Below are 18,942 nucleotides of genomic sequence, written 5' to 3'. Positions count from 1 at the left end.
ACTGCAACTTATGTCAAAAAACTTTTGACTGTTTTGCCTTGCTTAACTTTGGTCAAGGAAGACAGGGAGAAAGGAAGGAAGAGAGAAAGGAAGAGAGGGTCTCCATTACGCAAACAATGGCAAGTGTAATTCCACTCCTGGATGGAGGGTGGTGGAATGATAGCAAGGACAACTGTGTCCTCTGGCACACACATTGCAGCATCCCAATATCCTTTACAGGCATGGATGTGCCCTGTCAGGGTAGGCATGATGGCCCTAAAGACTGGCATTATGCCCGCTCCCACCACTTTCCCTGTCAAAAGAAGGTTGACTCTGACCCCAAGAAATAACCGCTGGGTTGTGTTAAGAAATTTTTATTCTTTCCTTTGGATTTGTGATGAAAGCACATAAAATTACAAGTGGAAGAAACATCATGCCACAAAATTGCATAGAATTATTACAAAAATGTGAATTATGCATTTTAAATAATTTGAGATAGAAGAACCAAAATATGTACATTTTAAGAGCTTCAAATACTTTGTCCTATCTTTTTTTTCTTCTTAAAAGGCAAGAGTCACAACGTCCAATCCATCACAAACAATATTAACACAGTGCACAAGCGCAACATTAAATTCAAAGTAATGCAAGCAAATGGCCCTTTTTTTGGGAATTACTTAATGACAGCTTATCTACTACAGGAGTATTAATTAATGTATGGTGATACTCAAATTTTAAAATGAAATATAAAAAACCAAAAACACATGGCTATGTCATTAGAACTTTGAAAATTGGTTTACATGGCCAAAACCATGCTATTCTCAGTAGTGTAAAGGTATCAGAGAGACACAGTCTAATTTAATACACAGCTCTACTTTCTATTATAGGAAAAACCACAGTACGGAATTTCACACATTCGACAAAGAACAAGGCAAATACATAAAGGCACAAAACTGCACATCATACAGACCCCTTTTCTTTATCTTAGTCTATTTCAAGTAATATTAATATTATTAAATGATAGTATCATTGTAGTAGTTTCAATGATGCAAGATGGACAGTGTTACACACTACCCCACAACTGCAAAAAGTGTCATTGTACAGATATAAAAATGTGATTACAGTAAATGGCCAAATACAAACATATTGTAAAATGACTAAATTCACTAAGATAATGAAATCCAACTACCAAAACAGTTTTGTGTAAGTCAAGGTTATTCAACTTTATTCTATCTCTGGACTAAAATGTGATACAATGTTCTGCAATAATCATCATTGTGTTTGGTTATGAATGCTATTATTAGTTCATTCTTCTTCAATTTCAGACAGTCTGTAATTTTGTTTATAAAAATGCAGCATTCGATTTTGACCATTCTTGCTTCTTTATGATTAACGCCTTTCTTTCAAAGTGCAAAAGTAGAATGATTTACAAAAGATTTCTTTTTCATTGGAAGTTAAGTTTTATTAAGTGTCTAATGAACACCCCAAACCCTTCAGATCAAAATATAATCATCTCCAAAGAGGATGTGATTTTCCCCTTACGTCTTACTAGATGTGTTTTTTTTAATCAAACACTGTTTCCTTATGTTTGAACTAAGCCTTCATTTTGATTAAAATTTAATTGTAATCTCTAGTTATTGCTTAAAGTTAAATAAAATAATTTTCATAAAAATATTAAATTCTTGAAACAATTTTCAGGACACAATTGGTTTTTGCGTTTTAAGATATTTCACAAAGCTACAGTCAGACAGGTTTATTTTAAAGTAAAATAAAACTGTGAGCATCTGGCTTCTGGGTTTTAACTTCAATGTTCATGTGTTACTCTCTAAGTTACATTTTTCTACATATTATTATTTTTCTTTTTTCAGAACTTTCAATTATGCTTTTGATCAGTTTTACCTTGATATAATTTGTTTCTCTTATTCCATCTAAAATAGGAACTTATAAAGACAGAGTTAAGTGAATTAAATATACTTAGTAAATATATAATGGAAGTTTTTTTATGTTAGAATAAAATAGAAATGTGTCAGACTTAAAAATTATGGAAGATACTAATAAATGTCCATATTATTTCTGTCCTAATTTTTTGACCATTAAAACAAGCTTAAAATCTGATACTTAACATCTAATTTTTGATCTTGCAAAATATAAATCAAATTCATATAAGTTCTAAATCTACTTCGGTTTGCATCAATGGCTCCATCAATTATTTCTTAGCGTCTCCATATAATTTAACATCCATGTAATCTCGATGTTTGACCCTTTTCTTCTCTATCCATTTGTCCCTGAATTTGGTTTTAAGTCTTGTGGAAGAGATTTGGGTCATTGTCAATTAATAAACACATGTCTACACTCATGTGTGTGTATGTGTATATGCACTTACATGACTAAGTGGGTACATATATACATGGAGATAATACCTATCATTTACATGTGGGTCTTTGTATTCTCTAGATAAATATTCAATCTTCCTCTCTATATTAAAAATAAATGAACCATAAAAAATGTCAAACGGCAAAATAACCACCGGAACCTGTTCATTCTGATTGAATATCTGCTTAACATATATCAGCTCAACTATTTTTATTCAACAGATCATTTGTAGTTATTTGATCATTTCAGGCCAATAACCAATGAATACCCAGACTTTGAGTGCAAATAGTCAATTCAAACAGCACACTGTCTGGAAGTGTGCGGCCGACTTGCTCATGCAGCCAAATGTACAATCCATATTGCTAAGTCTTAGGATGGCTTCACTGGGCAAGGATACAATCAAGTGATTTTTTTTTTCAAATAGAAAACTTATTTGAATCACTACAGTATCTAATAAAACCATGTCAGCAACAAATACATTGATGACTCTATGATAAATAAATTAGCAAACTGCAAGCCACCAGTGCTTGCAAAGCAAAGGATGAAAATGTAATATGCATGTTGACTTGAAGATAATGGTAGTTGAGGGGCAGTTAGAAGAAACAATGCTCAAAGTCGGCTGTTCAATAGTGTTAAATAATGCTATGCATTTCTCAAACTATTTCTATGACTTTGAAATATTTTACACCAGAGCTTCGAATAAAAACACGAGCTTGATTTTCTTCAAAGAAGACACTGTCCTTCATTAAAAGTTCCATGGAGCCTGCAAGTTGCTTGCTTTGAATTTGCTATTGGAAAGAAAACAAAAATCTCACATACATGCATTCTTCACTAGCAGACCTGTGGAGGTTTCCACATGACACATGGAGCCTGGGCATGGGAATTCTTCATGGATTCCTCTGGAACTCTCCCTTTGGTGTGGATTTTAGGCTAAGGGATGCTTCTCGGGAAGATGGTCCTGGGCAGTGATCTTTGTAATAAGAGAGAGTCCGATGACGCTGGAGTGGCCATGCAATTTCTGAAGGCCTGGCAGGAGCATTCACAGAGGAGTATCAAATTCTTTTCCTGGGATGTCTCCTCCCAGCTCCTCACTGGAGGGAGTCTTGTGGTTCACTTTTCCAGGGTCTGAGGACAGGGAGAGAGGGGCAGAACCGTGATTGCTGTCTTCACTGATCTTTCCTTTCATGGCTTCCTGCACGAATTCCAAAATCTCGAGGGGCAGTCTTTTGAATTTGTCTTGGTATTCTTGCTCCAGCTCCACCTGCAGCTGAGAGACATCAAGAGGGGAGATGACTTGAAGTTGTTTATGTTTCTATACCCACTCCCATAGAAACTCTCTGAAAGAGATATACAAAAGGGGCTGATGAATACATTAACTTAAAATATCATTCACTGGTCACCTATAGAGGAGATGTAACAAAGTTTAGTTGGACACATCATTTGTCTGTAGCTGAAAGTCAACTTCAAGTTATGTGTGGCACAATAAGGCTAAAGACTCAGAATAAGATGAATAGCGGTATCTACAAATGCACACACACACACACACACACACACACACACGGGTCTTTTGAAAAAGGTGTCAGAGTCTGGGCGTGGTGGCTCACACGTGTAATCCCAGCACTTTGGGAGGTTGAGGTTGAGGCAGGTTGATTGCGATTGCTTGAGGTCAGGAGTTTAAGACCAGCATGGGGTGAAACTCCATCTCTACTAAAATACAAAAATGAGCTGGGTATAGTGGCGTGCGGCTGTGATCCCAGCACTTTGGGAGGTTGAAGCAGGTGGATTGCTTGAGGTCAGGAGTTTAAGACCAGCCTAGCCAACATGGTGAAACTCCATCCCTACTAAAATACAAAAATTAGCTAGGTATGGTAGCGTGCACCTGTGATCCCACCTACTTGGGAGGCTGGGGCAGGAGAATCGCTTGAACCCAGGAGGCAGTGGTTGTGGTGAGCTGAGATCGCGCCAGTGCACTCCAGTCTGGGCGACAGAGTGAGACTCCATCTCAAAACCAAAAAAAAAAAAAAAAAAGAAAGAAAGAAAGAAAAAGAGGAAAAGAAAGAAAGAAAAATAGAAAAATGTGTCAGAAATAATATAAAATGATCTGAGGTTCTTACATTTAGGGGTTGAGAAATATTGATAGGTGAGCGTTCCAAGGTCAGCCATGAACCTGGCTGGGGGAAGCTAAGAAGCTGAGTAGAATAGACAGAGCAGTGTGGAGTGGACTTTGAGATGTGCAGCTTTAGTCAGAGGCCTGGAAGCCAATGCTGGGGTCTAAGGAGCAGCTTGATACATTTTCACAAAGTAAACAAACTCGTGTAACCAACTTGAACTTTTATTTTGACTTATTTTGCCACCACTTTATTTTGATTCATTTTTCATTCTAATTTTTATTTGCCTTGTAAACTATTTTAGCTACCCTTTAAACTGTCTCTTAATGTGTCTATTTTATGCCCTGGAGAATTTTCAGATGTTTTAAAGTCCTGGAAGCCTTTCTTCAAATGGAGACTTACGTGGATGTCTTAGTCATAAAATAATATAAAAGCTGGGATTCTCCGGTAGACAGGGAGAGAACGGGGGCAACAGGGAGAGTTGTCTGGTAGGGAGCTGTGCTGTGCTGAGTCCAAGAGAAAACCTTGAATTTTAAAGAAAATTATCTCTGCTTATCAATTGGTGAGCAGGGAGAATAATCCTTGAAACACCATGCAAGGTTAAATGCTTCCCCCACACCTCCTTATTAGCTTGGAGGCAATTTTTAAGACATGGACTTAAAACCTGTATTTTTCCCCCTGCTTTTCAAACTTTAAGTGCACACAAATCGTCTGGAATTTGATCTTGATTCTGTCCGACTCAGGAGGCCTGAGTGGGGCCTGAGCTCCTGCGTTTCTCAATAGCTCTTGGGGGATGCCAAGGTGGTTAATCTGCTTTGGCCACTCTGATAGCTCCCTGTCTGGGTTCTACTCTCAGCCCCCAGTTCTACTTTTTGTCTTGATCCTGGCTGTGCATCCTCCATCTGCAGCTTTCAGGGCAGCCTCTGGGGCTTGTTCTGATCCCTGGAATGCCAGGGTGAAGTCAATCTCCAGGACATCTGTCTTCCTGAGTCTTAGCCTCCTTCTAGACAGTGTCAGCAGCTTGGGAGCATCCCCTTTAGTTCAACTCCTTTCACTCTCACTTCTGTGACAGATAAATTTTGCCATTACTAAATTATTTAATTTATATTAAGTAATCCCTTATCTATCCCAAAGTTCTGAAATCCAGAAGAAGTTTCCTTTTTTTCTTTTTCTTTTTCTTTTTCTGGCAAATTTGTGGCAGACTCATTGACATGAACTGATATTGGGATGATACTGATACATGAAATATGTATAATTTCATGTATGCCCTGTCATATGACTATACATGAACTTAACTGCAGACATATTAATTTGTTTGATTTTGAGGATTACTCAGGTCTGCCTGGAGTGTTATGCTCATGGTATATGCATCACATTGCCTTTCTAAAATCAGAAAAGTTAAAATTCTGAAAAACAACAGGCCCCAAGAATCTCAGATAACAGATTATGGATCTAGTTTAAATGACTTGTTTTTTTTTTTTTTTCACATCAAAAAGTGTGTGACATGCACTTGTATGTTTATCATAGCACTATTCACAATAGCAAAGACATTCAATCAACCTAGGTGCCCATTAATGGTGGACTGGATAAAGAAAATATGGTACTTATAATGTGGAATAGTAGGCAGCCATAAAAAGTATGAAATCATGTCCTTTGCAGCAACATGGATGCAGCTGGAGGCCATTATCCTAAGCAAATTAATGTAGGAACAGAAAACCAAATACCACACAGTCTCACTTATAAGTGGGAGCTAAACATTGGGTATTCATGGACATAAATATGGCAATGATTGACACTGGGGACTAATAAAGTGGGGGAGGGAGTCGGGGGCAAGCCTTGAAAAACTAATTGCTGGGTACTATGTTTATTATTTTTGTGACAGGATCATTCGTATCCCAAACCTCAGCACAATATACTCATACATATATGTTACACAATATACTCATGTAACAAACCTGTACATGTACCTTCTGAATCTAAAATAAAAGTTGAAATTTTTAAAAATTTATAAAAATTATTGAAATATCAAAGAAAAATAAAAATAAATAAAAATAGAAAATGAAAAAATAAAAATAAAAATGGTATCTGGTAAAAATGGCTTAGGCTGAGTATTGAAAGTCAACTATTCTCCCTACATATAAAATGTGGGGTATTTATGAATCTATTTGCTAGCATATAAATTCTTATAAGCCGAGGAGGAAACATGCTGTGAGGGGGCGCTCAGGGCCCTGGACTCATGTGGCTATGATGGAGCACCTTGTACAGGGCCCTACTCTCCATGTTGGCACATACGAGTCACTGGGGCATCAAACAGGAAGAAGACAATTGCCAGTTCTTTCCCTGCTGTTCCAACAATTTAGAAGGAAGTGGGGCTTTTACAATGTCGTACTCTTTTGCATGAATGAAATCTTAGCCTGTTGTTTGACAGCGTCCATTTACTACCATTCAGACCTCATCATCAATTCACCTCAATTTTAATTCAGTAACACATGTGTTTCCAAGGAAGATAGGGAAGGAAGAAAAGCAAGTGAGCCTGTTTTAAGAAAACAACAGATTGTTGTTCTCTTATAGGTTGAACTGGGGGACCTTCAGCTATGGATATATTGTACCTGACCTAGCAGATAATTTCTCTCAGGTTAATGCTCATTGGTGGACAAGACCCCATAGTGCTTGATAAGTACTATTTCTTTAATTATTAACAAAAGAAGTAAAATACAAGAAAATGTCAAATACCTAAACCAATGCTTTTTAACATTTTAAATAATTTAATTCTAAGAAAAACCTACATTTTAGTAATTTAATTTTGATGATGATTTTTAATAATTTATAATAATTGACCCAGTTGTGGCTAAGTTATAACTGTAGTAGACTTTCATCATGGGATAGTAGTAGATTTTATTATATTCTAAACTAAGTCACTGCTTCATGACATATTAAGTGCCATATATTTCACTCTTTTTAAACAGCCATACAATTATTAATGAACTAATTTCAAAATTGTATTTATTACATTCCAAGTTAGAGCTTTTGCTTTTTCTTCTTATAAACTAAATACTTGTTCATTGTAAGAAAATATGAAAAGAATACAGGGTAATTCTGGCTCCGTTCCAACAAAGCCCCATCCATCAGTGGTCTAGAGCTATTCCAGCCCAAGGGTTGCAAACTCAGATGTTACAGGGGCCAGGCAAGTCATGTAAATAAGTAGCAGGCTATGTGCAAGAAAGAGGGGGTTGTGGGGTTTCTGAAGAGCTAGAGATGACAGGCCCTGTCTAAAGGGAGTACAAACAACTCAGTTCTAGCTGATGCTTGTCAGATTAAATATTGAAGTCAGAAATCCACATCTTCATGTAAGAGCCTGAGTTTTTATTGTTGGCAATCAATTCAAATCACATTCATCAGCCCCACTGGGCTCATGGAGAATTTATAACCTTTCCCCTAACAGATTTAAATCTGGCTTTAACCAGGGGACTCCCGAAGTTAGGTCCAACTGTGGAATTCCAGTTTAGATTCTTCCTAATTTTCCTTCCCCATAATCCTAGGCTTAGATGGTCCTCCACAGATCACCAGGGCTTCCTTTTGATTGCCTCTGTTCTGAGGTTCAGCATCATACTATCTAATTGCCATATTCTGGGTTTTGTACTCTAATATGTGTTGAATTTCTATTCTGTGCAAGTGAAACAAGGTGTTAGGTGGGAATGGTAGATTGGTCGTGCAAATGGCAGTAATTCTTCACCCCTCCTTGTAATCATAACCTTTGTGGTGTGACTTTGCAGCTCATCCCATCCCAGCAAAGAACGGAGTGTATTTCTCATCTTCTTGAATCTGGGGAGGCCTTGTTATTTGGTTCTGTCTAGGAGAATGTGTCAAAAGTATATGCTGTTCTGAGTCCAGACGTCACAAGGCCTTGTGTGCTTCTGCTCTCACAGTTAGAAGTTTACTCAGCCATCATGTGAACAAGCTCAGCCTAGCTTGCCAGAAGAGGAGACACATGGCCCAGTTATTATACTTTTTGCATCACTTCAATTGACTATCAGATATAAAAGTGAAGCTATTCTAAACCAGCTCACCCCTAGCTGACCACCAGCTAAACACAGGCATGAACAAGCCTACTGAGATCAGGTGAGCCTGGTCCAGACCAGAACCAGTTCATAGACTCATCAACTTAGCAAATGCTTGTTTTGTGACTGATTTTTATGGTTGGTTGTTAGGCAGCAGTATTATGGCTATAACTTTGAGTGAGGGGAACAGAAAGTAGTCTCATTATGTGGCCTGGACCCATAAAATACTCATAAGCTAACACAGCTGGCCCCATCCTTTCATTGCTGTGGCCTCAAAGCATATTCTTGGAAAAAAAATCACCACAGGACAGATAGATTTTCAAGACAAATGTGATTTTGTAGGCTATGCCTTGGAGCCTTTCTAGCATAACATTGTCAAACTTGAGTTTGTTTAATCTTAAGTTCATAAGACCTCTTTTTGGAAAATGAACAAGAAAGACGAAAGAACATGATTGAATTTAACCTCTAAATTTAAGATGAGTTGTTATTATTATACTCAGATATTAATAAAGAAGAGTGTTGTCAGAGTTTGTTTTATTATAGGCCCAGTTCTTTAATTTGACTAGTCAGGCTCAAATTCTAAATTTCTCAGTTAACTTGATTTTCAAAAGACATTGCCCACTAGTCATTTTTGTGAACTCTGGGTAGTTAAGCAGGAAAAGGCAATACGGTCAAGTTCAAATGTATTCAATTCTTCCTGTGTTGTCAAAGATTTTTGTACTTGGGATGCTTTTCTGACTCTGACATTCTTTTCTTCTGTCTTTAAAAAAGGCAGAGATTTGATATAGTTAAGGAAAGCTTTTAGATAAAAAAAATAAGTGAAGGCCAAGGAGCAAGCAAAGTTACTCTTGAAGGTTAGCTTACAATCAGAAAACAAACAAACAAAACCCAGTATAACATAAATGTGGCATAAATATAAGACAGATTACTGAGTTATGAATCAGAGACAATCAAACCAATTTCCTAAGGAAACAAATTGAAACCAGAGAACAATAAGCCACAATGGAATAACAAAGAAGAATTGAGAAAACTTAAAAAAAAATATGCAGCTGGATAATGTGCAGACAGATATTTGCAAGGTTTTCAAAATTTGGAATTCCAGAGTCCAACTCAGGTCATTTTGCCCAATGAAGTGTATGAAAGATCTTAATATAAAATATAAGGCCAATGTATTTTATAATATAAATATTAATATATTATATTTATATATAAAAATATTTTATATGTTATATAAATATTTTATAATATAAACATAATAAATTAATATAATGTATTACATATATTAATATTTATATTATGTATATTATATATACTACGTATAGTATATATACCACTTTGTAATATAAAATATGAAGCCAATAACAATCTTAGGATTGTTATTTGCTTGTTATTTGCTTCTGTCTAGGAGAATGTGCCAAAAGTATAATTGTGATTGTGAATAACTGTATAATCATGGGGTACAGAGACCTTTTTAAGCAAGACAGAAAAACATAAGAAAGAAAAATATAGATATCTTTATCTAGATGAAAATAATCCATTTCTCTGAAAAATGAGCATAAATAAAGCAATTCATAGGAAAAGAAATAAAATACAAAGAATATATATACAATACAACTATATATATTTGAAATATAGATGAAAGCAGCTCATTAACAATTAGAGAAATGCAATAGCACAATACCTTTTCAAGGGACATTTATTATATTGATTAATTTAATTTAATTCATTAAATTTAAAAGAAATTTCCTTTAAAGAAGCAATAACATTCTGAGAAATTGACACTTTGAAACATTGGGCAATAATTTGACAAAATTTATAAGAAGGCAAACATAGGCTTGTAACCCAGCAACTCCATTTTTGGGAATTTGGCCCACAGAAACAAAACCACCAACATATAAGAATGAATACACTAAGATATTTATTTTTGTACAGGAAAAATAGCATTGATTTAGCATTGTTTGTACAGGCAAAGCAACCAAAAAATAAAACAAAACAAAACCAGCCTGTGAAAACTACCTTAATTTCAATGTTTTGCCACATATGCATTATGTATTGTCTATCTCTATATTTTTTGCTGAGTCATTTGAAAATGTTTCAGGCATCATGACATTTCACCCATAAAGACTGAAGCATACGTTTCCTAAAAAGGTTGCTTTCAGATAGCATTAGCATATTTATTTATTTGCTTTATATTAATATATCCAGAAATAGTTTCAATATTATGACCTGTCAATAAAATAAGCAAATGAAGCTTGAGACTTTTTTGAAGTTCTTTTTATTCATCAAATATATCCTACTAAGGATGCACAATTATATTACTCTGCCAAAATTCACTGAAAGTAATTATATTCTTTGTATGGTTATGTTACCTTAAATATAGACATAGGATCACTTGTTTCAGTTTGTTTTCTCAGTAGACATTTTCAATTATTTTATTCTTTTTCTTCTCTGGGAGCATCTGTTGTGCGTGTGTGTGTGTGTGTGTGTGTGTGTGTGTACATACACATATATATAAATAAAATTGACAATTTAAAATTGTATGTATTTATGTAGTACAGAATGATGCCATGATTTATAAATACAACATGGAGTAATTAAATAAAGCCAATTAACATATTTATCACCTCAAATACTTACCATTTTTTGTGGTGAGAACATTTGAAATTTAATCGCTTAGCAATTCTGAGATGTAAAATACATGCTGCATATATTTAAAATTTAATTCCTTATAGTCTTTTAACACTTTAAAAATATATCTCCTAGCCTTTGAGAGGCAGCAATAATAATATGGTACTCTAATTATCTTGCTCAGAATATTTTGGAATTTACTGCTAAAGATCAGGGAAAATAGTAAAACTAACAAAAAAGCCAAGAAACAGCAAAAACATGAATAAAACGTAAGTGTTTCTGTAAAAAAATCATAAGGCTCTCACTTAAAGAACTATGAGGTAGTCAAATAATATAAACCAATGGCTTTGAAAACAGGGAGAAATAATTATATTTTTGTGATAAGTGAAAAAATGTACCTATAGTTGTATACATACTGTGATAATAACTATGACCATTTTTTTAAAGAATACAAAACGACTTTGAAAAGAAACACTAAAATATAAACTGTGTTAGAATTATGAGTATCTTTATTTATTCTATTTCTCACTTTTATGGTAATGTGATTATTTCATTTTTAGCATAAAAATAGCATTCTAAAATGAAAACAAAATCTAATATAATTTCTATAAAATACAAAAAAGAAAAATGTAGAACTCTGAATGTGGGATACAGTGACTAGGACAATTTTACGAGAATTACTGCAAGGACTATAGTATTTTAACCTCAACATCATCAGTTAGCTAAGTGGATATTAAAAGCAATGGGAAATGCATTAAAATCATACATTCATAGAATGAATGGTTTCAAAATTAAGCCTGAGCAAACGTGCAAGGCCTCATCTTATTTTTAGAATAATCTCATGAATTTTGCTTCAAGAATAAAAATAACAGGATCATAAGAAATTTATAGACTGAGGTTAGTCATGTTACCCAAGGATTGTTGGAAAGTGACCACATGCTATATCCTAACCATTTCAGTTTTTGTTTGTTTATTTGTTTTCCACTAAGTTTCCTTAGAATAAATTGCCATGGGACTTTGAGTCAATATGGCTGACTGAAAATTTCCTTTTCTATTCCAAACATAGGGAAAGGCAAAATGAAACAGTACATACATATTCACTTAAGTTTACAGCTGAGTTTGAATATAAGGAAAAGAAATCCTTAAGTCGCAGAAATAACAAAGGAACTCACAGTTAACAGAATTGATTCTCCATTTTGCGGGGCGAGGAGAGATTGGAAGAGGAGGCCTCAGGATGCCGGGTGTTGGAGTGCTGAACCTGAAGTCCCTGAATAGAGCCAGGGGTGCCCACCCTTCAAATGGGAACTAGGAAAACCCAATCCACAACCTTGGAGATGAGGCAAGGAAGCAAATGATTCATGGAGCACATTGAGGAAAAACATCCACAAAGGGAATTAGAAACCCATGAATGAGTGCAGTTTCCAAATTCATATTACCCCTGTGAATTGAGTACCCAGTCCCAATAATTTAAAGCAAAAACTGTTCAGAAACTGATAAAGCCCACTGAGTCCCAGCAGAGGCATAGCAAATTCAGAATGTTCGGGTTCCTCGGCAACCAAGGGCAGGACTGACACCTATAGACAAACAACTCCTAGAAAACATGAACTCAAGTTCAAAATTACAAACCACTCAAGTAAAATGCAGCTTTTGTTCAACTTTGTAATTCAAGGTTGCCATTGGCAACTGAAATCTAAAGATGAGGAGTGAAATGGTGATCAGTGTATTTCTAGGTCAAAGTTGAAAATACTCCAGATGTAAACAGAAGTAAACTGGATAGTCCATGCCAATGTAGAAGAATACAGGCCATTCACAATGGAAATCAATTACTGCTGCTTTTTATTGGGTGCTGGAGTTTGATGCATGCCTATATTTTGGGTAGATTTTCCTAAATAATTATATTTGCTTCAAAATAATATTAAAATTAATTTTTATCTTGTGAACAAATACCAACTAGCAATAGAACCTGTTACACAGGGCTAAGAAGGCAACATAAGTTAAACTGATGCCATAGATCTACACAAAGTAGACAATTCACTTTGGGATAGATAAGATTCTTTCTCCACATAGGGTTTAGAATGCTTGCATTTTATGAAATATGACCTTGCTCAGCTTATTTAATCTCTTGGAATTTTAACTGTCTCATGTATAACATAGGAATAATAAAACCAATTTTCCTGGGCTGTTAAAAGGTTTAAACAAGATCATACATATTAAATGCTTAGCATACTCTGATTTGCTTATTAATTAATATTGTGTAACCTCATTTTTAAAAAGAGAGAAAAAATCACTTACAGCAAAAAAAATCTAAAGTCCTGCCTATGAACCAGTCCTTGTTCTTTCCAGTTAATTTGAGTCATTATTTGGTCAGTTATGGTACTTGGTGGATTTCTCTTTTGGGACTATATTCTGGTTTTTTGTTGATTTTGATGCATTTGTCAATAAATGGTATTTTGAACACTCTGACCCATGCAAGGCCCTGTTTGGTGTTGTGGTGACTGGAGAAATTAGAATCCGTCCTAGGTGACAAGCAATGGATACGGGGAAAATAAAACATTGGACTGAATGAGTGCCACACACAAGATGGACTGTGGATGCTGAAAATGAAGACTGTATTGTAGCCTTAAGGTAATATGGGAAATACTTTATGAAGGACATGAGACTTAAAAATTGAGCCTTGTAGAATCTGCCAATACCTTTAGTATTATCCTTATTTTGGGCAGAAGCTCTCAACACTTCCTCCATTGGACATACAATAGATGACATTCACTGGGGAGACACAGCTCTGTAGCTGTAAATTCCCTCTTCCCTACACAATCTACAGGTATATATGTAAGTATGTAGATGTGATAGAAAACATGAATCTCAACTTTGAATCTGCTCTAATATATAAAAATTAAATTATCACACATTTACTTTCATGAATTAGCCATAGATTACAATAGAGGGATTACAATTCTCACATACTCTGTTTTCATAATCTATGGCTAATTTCACAGATGGATGCACATTAAAAGTGACAAGGTAATGTACATACAAAATCTCTGGGGATTTTGTTAAGATGCAAATTCTGATTCAGAAGATCTGGGGTGGGGCATGCTACCCTGCATTTCTAACAAGCTCCAAGGTGATGCTGTTGCTGCTGGTCTAAGAACCACACTGTGAATAGCACCACTTTAGACAAAGGTCTTCCAACAATTTTCTCCTTTTGTGCATTCTCTTCCTTCCTCAACAACATTACTTCAGGGTCTAGATAAATATTAAACCATTCTTTTGTAGATCTCATATCTTCAGACTTCTGGAATGCTAATGCTCAGATTTAGATTCAAAGTGTTGATAAGGCTGTTGGGTGAAGGGCAGAATGAGGGTTGCTAAGTTGCCAGAAAGGAAGGTTGGAGGAGTCAAGGACGAGGTAGGCAAAATACTAAGTAGATCCAAATACTGAATCAATAAAAGAGGAAAGACAGAAACTAGAGACCATGTGATTTACCAAGCACAGTTCCTAACATGCATTTCCTTTTTAAACTTTATTTCAAGTCAAAAGCCAAATGCATTCTGACATAGTTCTTAGGTGTGAACTCCTCTATATATGCATATATTCCATGAAACCGCCACAGAGGAAAACTCCTAACATAGTCCATGCTTTTATACCTCCTCTGAGTCCTGAAATATATTTCAAAATTTCTAATCATCTCACAGGTGTCTAGAGATTACTGTAGGAACCTGAAAAAAGAACATTTAACAATTACATAGTCAAACCCTTCATGACTTTGACGTCTCAGAAAATGACTTTAGCAATTATACTCAAATCCTTTCTTTTATTTAGTGAAAATCTGTGGCCCAGAGAAGTTAGGGTCTTTCTCAAGGATATGGCTGGCTAGTAGCAAAACCAGGACCAGGACCTCGTCAATTCTCTCCTCTGTGGTAGATTGACTGGATTAATGGCTCCTCCCTGTACCCAGAGCCTTTGCTTTATGATTCTCAGCTTCTCTTATGAGAGATGAGGAGTCTATTTCTCCATTCCTTGAAGATGATGTGGTCATGCGATGACATTGGTTAATAGGATGTTAGCAGGCATGGCCTATGCAGAGGCTTAAAAAAGCCCTTACTTAGCTTTCACTCCTATTCCTATGGCATGTCACGGGAACATGCTTAGACTACTCTAGTAGAAGATTTAACACAAGGAAAAGAGTTGAGTCACCTCAGTCATCCCAGTCCCATACCCCAAATTATCCTAGATTCATCAACATCCAACTGATACCCAGAGATGTAAGTCAGTCAAGATCAGCAGAGCTACAGAGCTACCTGCCTGACCCATAATGAACCACAGATGTATGAACAAGTCCAGCTAAGCTCCGCCACACTCAGCCAAGATCAGCTGAACCCCACAATCTTATGAACTAAATAAATGTTTATTATTGTAAGCCAGTGAAGTTTTGTGTCTGTTATTTGGTATTATTGTTGCATTTCCCCATGACTCTTATAATTTCTCTCAAAAGTGTGCATTAAGTTCTGTGGCCTTGACATGAAATGAGTTGTTTACCATTTTCCAGGAGCAAAATTCTTATTGCTTTATATACATACCCAAGCCACTTACCCTAAAAGCAACTTATACTACAATTTAGGACAATAATTATGCTACTCAGCAGGCCACGTCAGCCCAGCTAATATGTGAGTTCCTGGCCCTGAACTTTTTATGTCAGCACTGGAATACTTTCTCCTTATGGGGCCTGCGATTAAGGCCTAGAAGTTTTCTATTTTTAGTTAGGTGTTTTCTTTTGGAAGACTCAGCTGGGCATAAAAATGATTGTGAATTAGGAAACAAATTTTGATTGTACAAAAATGATAAATAACCTGCATGTTGTGCACATGTACCCTAAAACTTAAAGTATAATAAAAAAAAATAATCAAGATAATAACCCAAAGACGTTTGTCAAACAGAAAGTTACTATTGTATTTGAAATACCAAAAGATGTTCTAAGTCTTTGAAGATCCTGTGCTCTGGGGTAAGGAAGCTTAAGATACTTGTTTTATAATCTTGAGAGAATAAACATTCAGCACATTGTTCATCAAATCCCATCAATCATGAAGTGAGGAGACTAAAGCCTACCATCCAAGTGGTTCAGCGCAGAATCAAGATCTGAATACTAAATTCTTGCCTCCTGGCCAGGTGCAGTGGCTCACGTCTGTAATCCCAGCACTTTGGGAGGCCGAGGTGGGTGGATCACTTGAGGCCAGGAGTTTGAGATCATCCTGGCCAACATGGTGAAATCCCATCTCTACTAAAAATAAAAAAAAACTGGCTGCGTGTGGTGGCTGGTGCCTGTAGCCCCAGCTGCCTGGGAGGCTGAGGCGCAAGAATCACTTGAACCTGGGAGGCGGAGGTTGAAGTGAGCCAAGATGGTGCCACTGCACTCCAGCCTGGGTGACAGAGTGAGATGCTGTCTCAAAATGAATACATAAGTAAAATAAATAAATTCTTGCCTCCTATCCAGGGCTCCATCCCCACCATTCCAGGCCAACTGTTCACTATGTAAAAACAGGATGTGTGAAGGTCTCAGGAACCTGATATTCTTGTGTGTTGAGGGGAATATAACAAAACATTCCAATGTGTTTTCCTTTCATGTTTAGGATTTCAAAGTTGCTTTCACAAAATAATCGGGAATTGTCTTTTACTGAAAAGTGATGCTGAAGAGGGGTCCCATGGCCCAGGGTCTTATTGACCTGCTGTCCTCTTCATAATACAATACGGTTTTATGGAAAACAACGAGGACCCTCAACCAGCTGCAATTAGCCCAGCACATTTCTAAATCATCACAGGCTTTTCTTTGTGTCTGTCATACTTGGAAGATCCTGGTTTTTCACTCCCTCTGTGTCATTCTTCAGTTTAGGAAATGTTTATTTGATCAGCTAGTTGTTTTTCTGTTTTCCATTAAGTACAGTCTAATTTAATCAGAATACTTCTGTAAAGAATCGGATACCATAAAAAAGAACAAGCAAATGGAAAACTGGAATAAGGAAAAATCATAGCTTAAAAGAAAAAGAAAAAAATCTCTTGGGTTATAACCAACCTAGTAAATTGCTAATAAACAAGGAAATATAGAACCATAAAATAATTATTTACTATAATAATAGTAACATTAAAATTAATTAAGTGCTTATTGTGTGGCAGGCACTGTTCCTAGGACCTTACATGTATTAACTTAATACATGTATATTAATTTCAGAATCTCTGAACTCAAATATCTATGGGGCTCAAGAAGCAACACAAATCTGTGAATGAGATCTGGTATAAGGCAATTGAGAAGTAGTGGAATCTGTAGCCAAGTGGAATTGTATTTCTTGTGTAAAACACTCAAATTCAGCAATTTTAACATATACCAAGAGTCCAATAAAAGGCCCAACTGAGTCTGCAAGTCACTACTTTGTAGCTTCTGATTTAGCCGCACATGAGGAGCAAGGGCATGACAGCCTATTCGAGAGAGGCTAAGAAAGACACCACCAGAAGAATCCCATTCTCTTAACCACACAAACCCTGAAAAAAAATCAATAAAAGCCCTCCGGGCAATTGAAATAAAAGGCCATTCAGAGGCTAATTATTTTTAGATGAAGGATGTATTTCTTTTCAATCAGGTGGAATGCCACCAACCAGAAAGAACTGAACATACATTATGAATTCAGTTCTTACACCGAGTCACATTAGAAGCAAGGTCAATAGTGCAGACGGTGCAAGCAACCATCTCAGAGAACCTGGAGTCCCATGAAGCAGCCTCTTCAGGAAGTCTTGGGTCTCCAAAGGCTTTTTCCTGTGGGGGTCCTGCCCTTGTGTTGGCCTCAGCTTGGATCAGAGTCTCCTCATTGGTGCATGCCTTTATGATAACTCCTTTTAAGATTAACCAAGGATTAGTAATTACTGAACTTGAGCCCTAGCTACAACCACTTTCTCGACTCAAAGCCTGTGCATGGCATTTACAAAACAAGGGACAGGCTGAATCAAATGTCCTAGAATGAACTCAGTTATGTCCCTGGAGAACATCCTTCTCCCGATCACCTAAAATTAGTTTTGGTTTTTCTTTTTCTTTTTATAAATGTATATTTCAAGAGTGGTTAGCCGTCCTAGGGTTTTATCAGGATAATTGATTTTGATGCTTAAGGGAGTATGTCCTAATTACATAGTCCCTCCTTCTAAATATGATGTTTATGTCTCCTGCTTAAATTGCTGTGGTTTTTGGGTGAGTATTTACAATTTTATCTGAAAGGAAACTAGACATTTGTTTCTTGGCCTCACAGGCATTTTGAGAAGCCTGCTTGTTGTGCTTGAATTCTCCCCCCAAGGTGAAGCTGAAAACAATGATGGGATTTCTCAGGGAGAGCAAACTGAGGCAGGGCCAGATCAAAAGGCAAACGAGTGACAGGAGCTGGGTGGTTACAGACAGCAGACACCCGTTCTTCTAACTAGATTACTACTAACTAGTTCTACTAACTAGTTCTACTAACTAGATTATTCTTTTGATTTTTCAAAAGAATCCAGAAATCTGGATTTTGTGTTAAACCTTCTAATTTGTCAGTGTTGCCTTAAATTAGAAATTTACAAAACACCATGCAGGTCGATTTGCAACTTCCGGAGTATTTGGGTAATGTATTCCATCTGTCTGTCTTTGGACTTGATAGTTAACCATCTGAAAGTCTGCTGGGGCCTCCCTATTCAGGGACTGGCCTCTATCCTTTTCTTTGTTGCACTAGTGGAGACTTAACCACATTGCGCTGGTGTCTAAAGTCTTTAACAAGGCAACTATCACTGG

General features: G+C 36.3%; 1 protein-coding gene across 2 annotated transcripts in view; it reads right to left on the bottom strand.

Annotated features, from left to right (window-relative positions):
* PLCB1 (phospholipase C beta 1) overlaps nucleotides 338–18,942 on the bottom strand; it is a 752,635-nt gene continuing 734,030 nt past the window's right edge. For both annotated transcript variants that reach the window (NM_182734.3, NM_015192.4), the window contains one exon: nucleotides 338–3,616. Coding sequence is in view for 1 of the 2 variants with exons in the window: in NM_015192.4 (NP_056007.1) it covers nucleotides 3,389–3,616 (228 nt within the window). In the remaining variant the exon portion in view is untranslated. The remainder of the gene's footprint in view (nucleotides 3,617–18,942) is intronic.

This window comes from Homo sapiens, chromosome 20 (genome assembly GCF_000001405.40).
Source record: "Homo sapiens chromosome 20, GRCh38.p14 Primary Assembly".
Lineage (NCBI taxonomy): Eukaryota > Metazoa > Chordata > Mammalia > Primates > Hominidae > Homo > Homo sapiens.
The sequence above is the reverse complement of the archived record's forward strand: the minus strand, read 5'-3'. Positions and strand labels throughout refer to the sequence as shown.